Source organism: Homo sapiens, chromosome 6 (assembly GCF_000001405.40).
Source record: "Homo sapiens chromosome 6, GRCh38.p14 Primary Assembly".
NCBI lineage: Eukaryota > Metazoa > Chordata > Mammalia > Primates > Hominidae > Homo > Homo sapiens.
The window spans coordinates 46,460,032-46,473,995 of NC_000006.12; the positions used below are offsets into that span (position 1 = coordinate 46,460,032).

Below are 13,964 nucleotides of genomic sequence, written 5' to 3' on the forward strand. Positions count from 1 at the left end.
TTTGTCTTTGTTTCCTCTGTTGTTGTTTTTTTTTTCCACTTTTTCAGAGAGGGTCTTGCTCTGTTGCCCAAGCTGGAGTGCAGTAGCACAATCATAACTCACTGCAACCTCCAACTCCTGGGTTCAAAGTGATCCTTCCACCTCAGCCTCGTGAGTGGCTGGGACTACAGGCATGCACCACCATATCTGGCTAATTTCTTTTTTATTTTTTGTAGAGATGAGATCTTGCTATGTTGCCCAAACTGGTCTCCAACTCCTAGCCTCAAATAGTCCTCCCATTTTGGTTTCACAAAGTGCTGGGATTACAGATGTCAGACACTGTGCCCAGCCTGGTTTGTCTTTTTTAATTAATATCAAACTGTTAGTCATTGTAAGAAACCTTTGAGGCAACCATTGTCTACCAAGATTGACATGTGTTGTCCTTATTTCTAAATCTGAGGTTGGCCATCCAAAGGAGAAGAGCTTCCTTCAGCTAGGAGGCCATTTTCCGGGAGGGCTTCCCAACCTCACCCAGGCTGGGATGAATGTGGTGTTCTTTCTCAGAGCTCCCTGAGCACCTGCACAGCCTTTTCTCATAAAATTGTCCTCCAATGCAGCTACTATTGTGATTACTACTTTACTAGTCTGTATCTCAATCCAGATTGGTATTTCTTGAAAGCAGAGGCTGGGTTGTCTTCATCCATGTATCTACAGGAAAATATAGAAAGCCCTCAAAATAATGTTTGGCTGAATTAATGAATTATATAAAAAAGAGTCACTTTTTGGAAATAACAGACCAGCAAGTGGGTTATAATGTCCAACTTAAAATGTATACACTAATGATATACTATTTCAAATGTCTACACTAATAATGAAAACAATCCTCTCATTTAAATGTAAAGGTTTGATTTCTAAAATGTAATTTTACAAATGAAAGATAGCAAGAATCACTCAAAGATAGCAAGACTCACAGGATTCCTCTAGCTAAAATTTAATAATCTGTGGAAAATAGCAAAAATAACATTAATGTTTTTTAATGAGTTAACTGAAGAAAAACTGGAAAATTCAAAAAGCTATAAAGAAGAAAATAAAAGTAAACCATAATCCTACTATCCAGAGAAAACTCCTGCTAACATTTTGGTATATTTCATTGCAGTGTTTTTTTTACATGTAAAATTTTTAAACAAAATGGGGGTCCTGCTGTTTAGTATACCGCTCCTGTCCTGCAACACTGATATAATCAAGAGCAGTTCCCTGTGTGATTATATATTCTTCAAAACATTAATTTTAATAGCCACATTGTATCCCAGTGTATGAATCTGTCATAATTTAATCACTCTTCTGTTGTTTGACATTTGGAAAGCATAAGTTTCCATCACCTTATGCATGTGGAAAAGAAAAACCACTATCCACTATTAAAATATAAATCTTCCCATGGGAGAATTTCAAAACTTCTTTAGATAAAGAAAAGAGACATCTTCATGAAATACTGGAAAGAGCCCTAAGGGAATACCTTCATGCCAGTCTCAAGCTGTAAATAGGGGGCCTTCTGGGCTGTGGCTTTCTTTTTTTTCTTTTTTTTTTTTTCTTTTGAGAGAGAGTTTCGCTCTTATTGCCCAGGTCAGAGTACAATGGCACGATCTTGACTCATCGCAACTTCCGCCTCCCGGGTTCAAGAGATTCTCCAGCCTCAGCTTCCCGAGTAGCTGGGATTACAGGCATGTGCCACTACGCCCAGCTAATTTTGTATTTTTTAGTAGAGACGGAGTTTTTCCATGTTGGTCAGCCTGATCTCGAACTCCCGACCTCAGGTGATCCGCCTGCCTCAGCCTCCCAAATTGTTGAGATTACAGGCGTGAGCCACCATGCCCAGCCAGCTGTGGCTTTCTTGACTGCAGAATGGAGAAGGAACATGGCCTTGCCTACCTTACAGATCTACATGAAAGTCTTTTGAAGGCCCCCCTCTGCCAATAACATGTGAATGAAAGCTATTTATTACTATTGTTAGGCTTATCAAGAGCAAGCCAATGGCAGAGGAAGTTGGCACTGCAGAGGTGGCCATCATCTTCTACTGTTAAGTGTGTAAATGAGTTTCAAACCTCCAGTGTATGAAACCTCCAGCTTCAAACCTCCAGCTCATATCATTACAATGAGAAACAAGCAGCAGTGCAGCTTGAATATTTGGTATGAGTTTGGGTGAAGACCCTATTAGGAGGAAAAGATATTTGTAAGGCAAAAGAAATTAATTAAAACAAAAAACAAACAACCTTTTCCCCCCAGAAAACATCACCAACAACAAGATGACAGTTTATTTAAATGTTAGAACGTTAATGGCAATGAAGACATAGACAATTGCATTTGACTCATTTTAATGAAGAAGGAAGCCTGGAGAAGGGAGGGTTTGCGACCATTTCATTTTTTCGCAAACATGTGAAGATAATTTTCATCCAAGATTTTCAAATAACATGATAGCACTTTTTAAACATTAAAAGACCTAAAGTAAAGACAATATGTTTCCTACCTTAAAGACTAGCCACCTGAAACATAAAGATATCTGTTCAACATCTGTTACACAGAAGTAGCCATTTAATAAATGTTGTATGAATAAGTGAAAAAATTTCTTTTCCCCCAATAAATCTGGATGTTAGAGACATTACTGGCTTTCTACACAAGGAATTAATCTTTCCAAAACTCTCTAATTTCTTTCCTGACAAATGTTTATACATATGATTAAACCCGGAGGAAGAGACCTTTAGAAGACATCTGATTCTGCTGGATATCATTATTGTCACAGAGTTATCAATGTGCATGAGATTCACATTTCTGAATTGCAGAATTCTAAAAAAATTCACTTTTCTAGGAATTGGGTATAACTCATGAGAGCAGGGAGCCATGCATTTGCCCATAGGAATTCTGGTCTAGAAAGCCTTTAAATATAAAAGGAGAGGAAGTTAACCACAAATAAGTCCATGAGAACAACCTGGGAGCCACAGAAAGATGGTAAACATTCATGGAGATGCTTATAATAGTTTTACCATCAAGTAAAATCAGTCAGTAGCGTGATGTGTGACCAGAAAGGGTTGGGTGGTGATAATCGCATCTAGAGTCTTGGCAACCTGGAGAGATCATGGCCAATTCTGGGTACTGTCCACTACAGAAACACTGAGTCTTTCAAAGGAAAGTATTCAGTCAAGTTACGTTATCTAAGAGACAGATGCATGATAAGAAAAAGCATACGAAGCATAGAAAATAAGTTTTGAGTTAAAGCTTGGTTGCCTTCAAATTCTGAAAGAGCAAATACAATTTTTGTATACAAAAACAGAAGTCAAACCAGAGAGAAAGAGTTTAATTTCATATAAGGAGCCACGGATCTTTTAACAATTTGGGTTAGAATAGCATGTCCTGCCTTATGTGTTAGTGAACTCCTTGTAGTGGTGATATCCAATAAGAAAGTTTCATTGAGCAGGTGCCATTCATTTAGCAGGATGTCAAACAGGGAATCCAAGGAACAGGGTGATGATTGCCTGACATTTCCTTTAAGGATTCTCCTCAATTTGAGATTTTTATCTTACCATGATTGGAAAAAAATACATAAGAAAAGAGACATCTGTTTATCTCTGGGATTAAACATACTCAAGAAAGGGGAACATATAACTTTTAACAAAAGCTTTCTCCAGAGTTTAAATCTTAAATTTGGATGCTCATAAATAACCTGTCTCTATTTTTTCTCTTCCAGGTGACTCAAACTAAAAAGCAAGAATTTTTCAATAGAAAGTAATGATCCATAAAAAGATAAAAATAAGCAAGACATACAAAAAGCAACTTAAGTTTAAATTTGTTTTTTCTTAGACAAAAAGAATGTTAAAGATTCACCTCATTTGCTTCTAAAATTAAGAACAGAAATATAAAACTTTTGCAATAAGGGCAACAAATAAAAAAATATGCCTTGATTCCATGTTATGGCCAGCTAAGGAGGATAAATAAGGAAATAGAATAAATGGAAATGATTAATGAATAATTCATCCTGACTTCAAGTTCAGTTTTGATTGAAAAACAAGTAAATGAATTATGGGAGATTTGTTAGTTTACAAGAACTTAAATATAACAATGTCAGCTTAAATATTAATGACAAAAACTGGGAATACAATGCAGCATTAATAAGTAATAGAAAAGAAATGCCTATATTTTTCAATTGAATATAAGGTTAAATGAGCCAAGTTCAGAATTTTAAAGAATATGAACCTAAAGTTTTGCAGTGTTTAAAATCCCTTCAGCTCTAAAACCAAATGATTATTTGATAATATCTGGGACAAAATGAGCTCATTAGAAGAAAATATTTAGATGAATAATAAGAATAATAAATTTACAATTAAATTTTATTATCAGCATTCATTTTTGGTCTGGCTTTAGAAGTGGGATCTTTTTGATTTGCCCTTTGGGTGTTTTAATATCTAGATCCTCCTAGGGATAAGACAAGCCTTTTGCTCATTTTTGTCCATCTTACAGGGAGATTGAAGTATAATATTAGTAACAACAAACCAAGCCAGCCATCCTGAGATACAAAGGAGAGACATGATATTCTTAGGCTATGCTCCATAGAAACCCATTAGAGCTCTTTCTGAAATATAATGGAACCTATTTAATTCAGCTGCAGAATTTCACACCTGCTGAGCTATGTGAACCTCATGCTATTCTTGATATCATTTGGGATCAGTCTTGAAAGTATCAGGAACATGCAGTTTCCAACTCATAGTTTTCAAAGGAAATCATCCACATTCCTCATTTATGGCTCTCTTCAGGACACCTTCTGGAGCCACTGTTCCACCTTAAGCTCCCAATGGGCAATAATTCAATTAATTCAATTCCCTGTGGAAGCAGCAGCTTATGAATTTTTATGAAGTGCAAAAAAAAAAAAAAGCAAGTTGTTTCCATCATGTCCTTTTGCACTGGATGTGTACACCTGCAGGATTTTAATGCCCATGATCTCACAAGATTTGCAGATCCTATATATTCTTTCAATAAACATAATAAAAAGGGGAGGAAGACCCTCAAATTTACCAAAGGTCAGATGGGACAAGCAAATAGGGCATTTGTATTCCATTCCCACAAACCTAATATCATCATCAAGAAAATGCATTTCAAACAGGTTTGCTGCAAAAGAACAGAGTCAGAGGAAACACCATCTTTTATGAGGGGTGTGAGGGTGACAAAGTTGTTCTTAAAGACAGAAAAACCTGTGTCTACAAAGAATGAGCTACAGTGAATTATAGATTTGTTAAACAAAACAAGCAATATTGGAGCACTCACACAAAGCAAAAGAGTTTTGGACATTGTATTAGTCAAGGTCTCACAGGAAACAGACAGCATGTTCAAATTGGATAATTTGAAAAGAGTATAACAAAGGGACTATTTACAGCATGGGCAGGGTACAGGAAAACCACAACAGATAGTACAAAACCCTGGTCTAGCACTCTCCCTAGATTTGAAGAGTTGAGAGGAGGGGAGGGGTTTCCAGAACCTGGGGATATTCTGGAGAGAACAGACGGCTGTGTGGAGATGGCCCCCTGACACATCTTTCACTGCAGGATGTAGTCAATCTACAGTAGTGCTACAAAGAGAGTGCCAGAGAAATAAATATCCCCAACTTGTTATCTTTCTCTGATCTCCTGCTGGTACCTCCCATTGGTCAAACCCAGCTGGAAACCAGAGGGCCAGGGGGCCATGGAGGTGGAACACAGAGGTCAGGCTCTGGGGCACAGGGCGCAGTGCAGAGGGATAAGGGTGGAGAGAGACTCTCTGGGATCAAGTAAAGATAACAAGCACACCCTTCATAAATGGGTAGTAGTCTAGAAATTTTATAGGTTAATTTCAATAGCACTTTAAATTTTGAAAACGTACAGCTGAGTCATTTGTAAATAGATGGCTCAAACCAGGGCTTATGTAATACAATTGAAGATTCATCACCTCTGACTGCATTTTTCTTAGAAACAAAAAAGTGAACAGGGAATGAGTGGCTCTGTATATAGTAGAGAATGCCTGCACCACTGGGGGAGATGTGTTCAGACGCCCCACCTGGAGACAGAAGACCATCCTCTCATGATTGCTTAGAAGAAGCTTAAAGAAGGCCCAAAGCCTCTGGAAGAGTGGAGCAATGTTATGCAAAATAACTTTTCACAGGAGGGCAACACTTCAAAAGTGGGCAGCAAAGCACAAGAACGTTGCTATGGTAGCCAAAGTAAGATTTATCCTGTCATCTTTCACCTTTGGTTTTCAGATGGGGCATGGAGTGCTGGAGAGAAACAGAGTGAAAAGGAAAGAAAGCAGGGAGTGAGAGATACTGCAGCTTTGAGAAAAATACAGCTAAGAAGGGTCTGACTTATTTAGAAAAGAAAAGATGGACTAGAAGGCTGCCTAGGGAGTGGAGAGCTGGACAGGACTCACTAGAAGTCCAAGGAGGCAGGTCACACTCCCTTCCACAACATTAGCAGGTAATGAAGAGCTTGGAATTCCTTTCAACTCAAGGAGGAAAGGCAGGGGGAAGAAAAATCCCCATCTCAGTACCTAGCAGACAGTATGCTATTTTTTCCCACAATACAGCTAAATATTCACGTTATTTCCACATTAAAAATCTTCCATAACTCCACAGGACCTGTCAAATTAAATAAAAAACTCTTCAGCCCAGCAAACCAGGACAGCCACAAGATGACAGACTTCCTATCTAGACTTATCAACTGCCTCATCAACGCTGAAAAAAATCACAAGTCTCAGTATCAAGTTCCAGCTCAGTCCATAACAATAGCGGCAGGAGCAGCGACAATCATTGAGTGCTTACTTTGTTCTAAGGGCTTTATCTGTAACAAACTTATAAATATTAAATAGCTGTGTAGCTTTGGCCAATTTCCTCAAGCTTTCCTTAAGGTTTTCTTCTGCTGTGCCCCATTCCCACCTATCAACATTCCACTCATCTTCAAAGTCACATCTGGGGTCACTGCCTTCATACCCCGCTCTCAGCCCAGCCTGCACTAGATGAGATTCCCCAGTTACTGATTGCTATTGTCTTGCGCTTGCACCTCTTGGGACACTTACTTTGTTTTGCCTCTCTTTGCACTAACTTATTTCTTATCTTCCACCCAATGTTGAGCGCAGGAGCTGTGTCTTACCTGCCTGCATAACTCTTGTAGCTACTAAACAGGACCTTGCACTTGGAAGGTAACTTCTGACATTTCTTGAATTGAATGGAATTCAAAGAGCTCTGAATTTGACTTTCAGCTGTCCAGCTTACTGGCTGTGTGACCTTGGACAAATCACTTAATCTCTGTGTTGTTTCCTCAACTGTAAAGATGACAGGAGTATATGCCTTTTATAGTGCTGTTTTGAAGATTTGATAGCTAATGCACATAAGGCACTTAGAACAATGACTCGGACACACCATGAGTGTTCAGTAAGTGTTAACTATTATAAGTGTTAACCATCTTAAGTTCTCAACAGAGCAACCTTCTGTCTCATATGACACAGGAGCTCCTCCTCTCTTTCCTAGAGTCATGGGTCTTTTTGCATGTACAGAAGGAGTACAGTGGTTAAGTGTGAACTTTGAAGTTGGTCTTGAATTTTGGCACTGCCACTTTCTAGCTGTGTGACCTTGGACATGTTACTGAACATCTCTGGGCACCATATGCAATGTGGGAACCACAGTAGTACCTACTTCACTGGGCTGTTCCTTGGATTAAATGTTACACATCTTACCATTCTTCTCCCTCTCACCTACTCCAAAATCCCAAAATTTCTGGTGGGTACTATGTTTTTCGGCTCTTCGGAAGAGACTGTACCTCCACAGTGAAAAAATGCAAGAACACTGAAGTCAGACAGACTCAGACTGAAATCCCAGCTCCTCAGCATTTGTGATTATCAATTAGGAGAAGATGGACTGACAGTAGTGGCTGGCCCTGGAGTCTGAATCCTCTTTCTACAACAATTTTACTTTGTGATTTTCTGCAAGTTAGCTCTGCTTACTAGGCCTCAGTTTCCACAGCTATAAATTGGGACTACTGAGAGGTCCAAATGAGATAATCCTAGTAAAGAATTTAGCCCAGGGCCCAGCAGCTATAATCACTCATGAAATATTAGCATTTGCTATAATTGCTTAATCTAACTGCCAATTATACCTTTACTTAATCTGTTCTCCCTTAATTGTTTTACTTTCCAAGAAAGTCAACATTGGTGTTAGGCCCAGAGTTTGACTTGAGTTTAGGATAAGAATATGGACCACTGTTCTAAACCTTTTAGTTTTATCAGGTCATCTTCAACCCAAAGGGGACCTGAAGTACTTAGCTTCCTAGTACAAATTCCCTGCTTCAATCTTATAGTCTTACTTACCCTTCTCTTTTCTTTAATCACAATTTTCCAACTTAGATGAAAACCCTGTCAGGGCTTACCAGAGGATCCAGGGTACTTCAGAGTGAGGTCCAACCCCACCACAGCCGCGCCAACGCCAGCAAAGCAGCCCCCATCCTGGGAGGGCTGCCCAGCTTCTCCTTTCTGTCCTCCCGTCTGCACATGTGTTGTTATTTACAACATTTGGCAAAGCAAACCCATTTATTGACGTTTTTACATCTCCTTCCATATGTTGAGCATACTTGCTTCTTCCTATAATGCTGGCTCCCAGCACGGCTCCTGATATGCTGTGCTGACGAGACAAATGGAATGTAATACCCTCAGATTCCCTCTCTCCCCTCTCTTCTCTCTCCCCACTCTTTCTCTCTCTCCGCTAGATGTTCCAGAGCCTTGCTCACCTTTAATCAGCACTTTCTCAACTTGAGTGACTTCCTGAGTCTCACAGATTCTCATTGTCTCCAGCTGTGTTAAATCCGGAAGGCTGAGTGTTTTCATTCTCTCCTCCTTAACTTTACTTGTTAGCACAATTTGCTCTTGATCTGAAAGTAAGTCACTGCCCCCAGCTGCTTCAGGTTACTTTTAAAACCCTTCCCTTCTTTTTATATCCATTTATTGAAGACGGTTTCTATCACACCTCTGTTTCTCTCTCAAATCTACAATTGTAATACCCTCAGGTTCCTACAGAAGCCAGGGCTGATTGTACTTCTGCATTGCCACCTCCCATCTAGATGGAGCTGTCTGCCCTTGGCCTGTTCAACCAAGGGCCACAACTGAGACACTGACACAGGGCTGGGCAGTTGTGGAAATAACTTCCAGTTTCTCTCACTATTGTCAGAGAGTCACAATTCAAGATGATCCGTAATTAATCTCCCACTTCTAGTGCCATGTGTTGTTTACAAGAAAGAGCTGACCCAGATTCTAGCCTAGAAAAAAAACAAACTGAAACCTTTATAAAGTCCTTTCTGGCCTGCTGCAATTGGGACCAGTTCACCACATCCCTCACCCCCTCCAGCAGCTGATCAGTGGCTAGGGCTCGTGGAGGATGGAACCAGTCTTGGTAGCAAAGGGTAGTAAGATTTCTGAGGAAAACCTACAAAGCATTTGGGGGAAGAAATTGAGGCAGTAGAGGAAACAAGTAGGAACAGCTAGGTGATTTAGCTGATAATCCACCTTTTGAGAACTGGTAACTTAACTGTCCTGGCCTCCACACTGCTTTACAACAAAGACCATGCTAGAAACGAAGTGGGAAGAGGATGTATACCATCCTTCTACTTGTCCAAAAGAGCTGGTGGAATGCTTGTGCTATGTTATGAATGTGTCCCCTCCTAAATGTAGGTGTTGAAACTTAATGGCCAATGTGATGGTATTCAGAGGTGGGGCCTTTAAGAAGTAATTAGGTCAAAAGGGCTTCTCCCCTTGTGAATGAGATTAAGGTACTTACAAAAGAGGCTTCATGTAGCATTCAGCTAGCTTGCCCTTTGGCCATGTGAGGACACAGAATTCCTCCCTTGTGGAGGATACAGCAATAAGGCACCATCTTGCAAGCAGAGAACCACCCTCACCAGACGACCGAACCTCGATCTTGGACTTCCTTGATCTTGGACACCTTGATCTTAGACTTCCCAGCCTTCAGAACTGTGAGAAAATTAATTTCTCTTCTTTTTAAATTGCCTCAGATATTTTAAAAATTGTCTCAGATATTTTGTTATAGCAGCACAAAATGAACTAAAACAACTTTAATGAACTGAAACCATCACAATAGACACCATGATAGTCAAGACAATGTTTTTGATAGTGCAGCCGACAGACTCCTGAGAAATACAACTAGAACATTATGAGGGGCCCATCTGGCATTCCAACAAGACCAATGGAAGCTATTTATATTAGAGGAGAGAACTAGGACCCCCTTTACCTTCCTACTTTTCTAACCAATCCTAGCACCATCCCATATATATAAAACTGGATAAACAGCCAACAACATTGAAGTGCCTTATTAAGATGTCAGAGATCAGCGTTCACCACTGGATTTATAAAACCTAGTTCAGTACCAGGAATGGGGTGATATTAAAGATGAGAAACATTATATTAGGCTTGCTTGTCTTTTTGAGGAACTATTGCCATTTGTCTCTTTATATAGTTACTTAATAGCTCTACCTTTCAGATGTCAGTGACACATACAAAAATGTTCACTAAATAAATCAAGCCAGTTTTCTATGTACCCTCTCTCTACCAGTTCACTTACTTTTCTCATTTTTTATATTTCTTAAAACTGGTTTCATTATTTTCCTTCTTCCAAATAGAACTATTGTTTTTTCACTTACAATGTACAATTACTTCAAATAGTAAATATGAAACACTTAAAAATGTAATAAGGGTATGAGTCTTAAAAAGAAAGCAAGTTTAACTGACCACATAAACATGGTTTGCCCATGGCTTAGATGTGGCAAGGATGAAATCTGTCTTCATTGTGCATGGCTCAGTCTTTATTCATTTTTTCTTCTGGTGAATTCACCTCTCCTCATTCACCTCATTCACCACTCCACCAGAAGGCACAGATACCCTTCAGAGTATTTATACCCACCTATCAAAACCTGTGTAGTGTGGCTCTGGTATAGAGCATTTGCTATTTTATACACTTTATGTAGGGGTGGTGAGGAATATGTCTCTGATCAATAAGGAAGAAGGTGAGGCTGGTAAGGAAGAGAGAGTGTACAAGATGGGTTCAGAGGAAAAGCAGATGGCCAGGACATGTGGAGCCTTACAAGCCTTGGAGAGGACTTTTTGATTTTACCCTGAGATGGGAAGCCACTGGAAGAGTCTGAACAGAGGAGTTTCAGGAACTGACTTATGTTTTAAAATAATTTATCTGGCTGTTATCTGGAGAATAGAGCAATGGAACAAGGCCAGAAGTAGGAACCTACTAAGAAACAATTGCAGTAATCTAGGTAACAGATGATGGTGATAGAGACCAAAGAGGTGGCAGTAGAAACAGAATCAGTAGGAACTTGAGTCTGGGTGTTTTTAATGTACACGTGGTATTTGCTGATGGATCGGATATGAGGTAGGAGAAGATTGAAGAGTAATACCAAGATTTTGGCCTGAGGACCTAGAAGCACAAAACTGCCATTTACTAAGGTGGAGTAGGCTGTGGCAGGAGCAAGTTTAGAGGGATGAAATCAGAAGTCTAGTTTAGGACATGCCATAAAGAATGCTATTATTCATCTAAGTAATGAGCAGTTGGTGCCATGAGTTCAGAGTTCAGGGGAGAGGGGAATAAAATAGATGACACTTATAGCCATGGGTCTGAATGAGTGAGTTTAGTGAGAGAAGAGGTCTAAGGCCTGAGCCCTGAAACACACCACAATTTTAGAGGAATAATAATAGTACCATTGCAAGGGGGTGTGTTATAGGGATTCAATTAGATAATACATGTAAAGCACTTAAAATAGTATAGGAACCTTCTTCAACAGTCAACAACCAGGTGCGTGCGCACACACACACACACTCACACAGTCCCCCTTACCTCTTACCACCTGCTAGCCCCTACCTCCCCTAGAGCACCTATCCCAGGACTCGGCGACTTGCACCTGGTGGAATTCTTCCTCGCATTGTTCTGTAAGGAAGTGGGTGGAGAACAGGAAACCTTGTTCTCACTCTAAAGGCTACAAAGGGAAAAATAATCTTGCTTGTATTCCAACCTGGAATTCTGAGTATTTTTCCCACAACAACGTAGCTTTTAAGATCTCTCAAATCAACACTCCTGTACTTTACATCAAGTACATCATGCATATAACAGGCTTTTGGGCCAGCTTGGGGATCTGGTCATAATTCATGATGCTTCCTAGGAAAATATATCCCAAACTCCAAACAATGTAATGGAAACCCATATTCAAAAGGCTACAGATTGTTTCCTGACATAAAAGCACACATATAAATTCTAAAGATGGATGTATTGGGACTTCCTTTTAATAGCAATGGTCTGTAACATATCGCTATATTTAGGTACCCAACTAAGACTAATAAAGTTGAGCAATAGTCCCTTTGTAGTGCCTGTGTTAGTTTAATCTCTGTCAAATCTCTCTGTGACTCTCCGCATCCCATTCCCCTGTGCTCAGCCAGGCAACGGAGAGGACAGTGAAGATGTTTAACTCCAGGATAAATCCCCCATGATGCTGTCTTTCTCCATCATAATGGAGAAAGACACAATTGCTGTACTGTAATTGTGTAGCTGCCTCTCTTTCCAACCTGCAAATGCAGATTGTCTACCTTGTTCACATTGTATCTCTAGAACTCAACATTGTACCAAGTATCTAGTACAGACTAAGTAGAATTTCTTGAATGATTGGGGAATCAAAACTCAATCTTAGTCTTAGATTCTAAGACATATAAGTCTTGAAAGAAGAAGGAACTTGGAGGACATACCAACTGAGTTAAGCCAGTCAGTCTGGGAAAGAGAGTACAGGAACACTGGAACTTTTTCTGAAGTAACAAGATCTAGGGATTTTCACCCAGAGAAGAGCTACTTAGGTTGGCTTCTGGTAGCTCAGAGCGAGAAAAAGTCCCTTCATGGGACTAACTCAGAATACCAAGCTTAAGCCCCAAATCTTGCTTTCCAGATAAATGTAGTTTTTAATTTAAGTGACAATGTGATTTTCCTGGGGTCCACAGCCCTGAACTTTTAGAAGTCATGTTTCAGGACAGTTTGATTAGTTATATGCATGTATGTCTGTCTGTTTCTATAAATCATGTTTAAATGTACATATACACATTTATGTGGTCTCTTATTAATTTGCAAACTCTTAAAGCATACCAATGCTTTTCTCTCCTTTCTTTTGCCACATACAATATCTTACGGTATACTGTTTGATCCTCCATGATAATCAATTATGACTCTACCTTATAGCTTCTTAATATCAAGAATGGCATCACACACATACAGACACATGCACACACAAACACACACCCCTATCTCATACCTAGCATATAATAGGCATTCAGTAAATGTCTAGTGAACTGAATTGTTTAACTGGCTGTCTGTGCTATTTTTTTTTGTTCTCTTTAAACAATAAACTATTACCTATAAATCACCAATAAAATATCAGAATTGTAATAGACTAGAGTCTTTCATTACCATCAGGAACCAAATGTCAATAACAGCACCATATGAAACACATCAATGGCAGTGCTAGTCCAGTATATGCTCAGTGGGTTTATAACCTCAGTAGTATTTTCATAGAGAAAACTATGCATTATCCAAAACTAACTTGGGATTTTTTTAACCTGATAATTATTAGATAAATCAATGACATATTTTGACTGTGGATAAGGGAAAGGCTGCTGATTATCATTCAGGTCTGAATAATATCCATGGATATTAAACCATTTTCCTCTGTCATTTTATTCTTTAGGGGCACTCTTCATATAAACTCTCAGGAAAGGAATGAGGGTACATTTATAAAACAAAGACAGTATTTTAACTTTTAAGTCTTACATATAAACTCACATATTTCTCTTTAAAATAACATATTGAGAAGCTACTATGTGCAAACTATCCTGATTCCTCTTAGATGATTCAGAGTTGGACAGAAGGACTC

At 39.3% G+C, this 13,964-nt stretch overlaps 1 protein-coding gene across 4 annotated transcripts in view; it reads right to left on the minus strand.

Moving 5' to 3' along the window:
- The window catches only part of RCAN2 (regulator of calcineurin 2), a 271,235-nt gene that overhangs the window by 239,296 nt on the left and 17,975 nt on the right, over positions 1–13,964 (minus strand). The window lies entirely within an intron of this gene.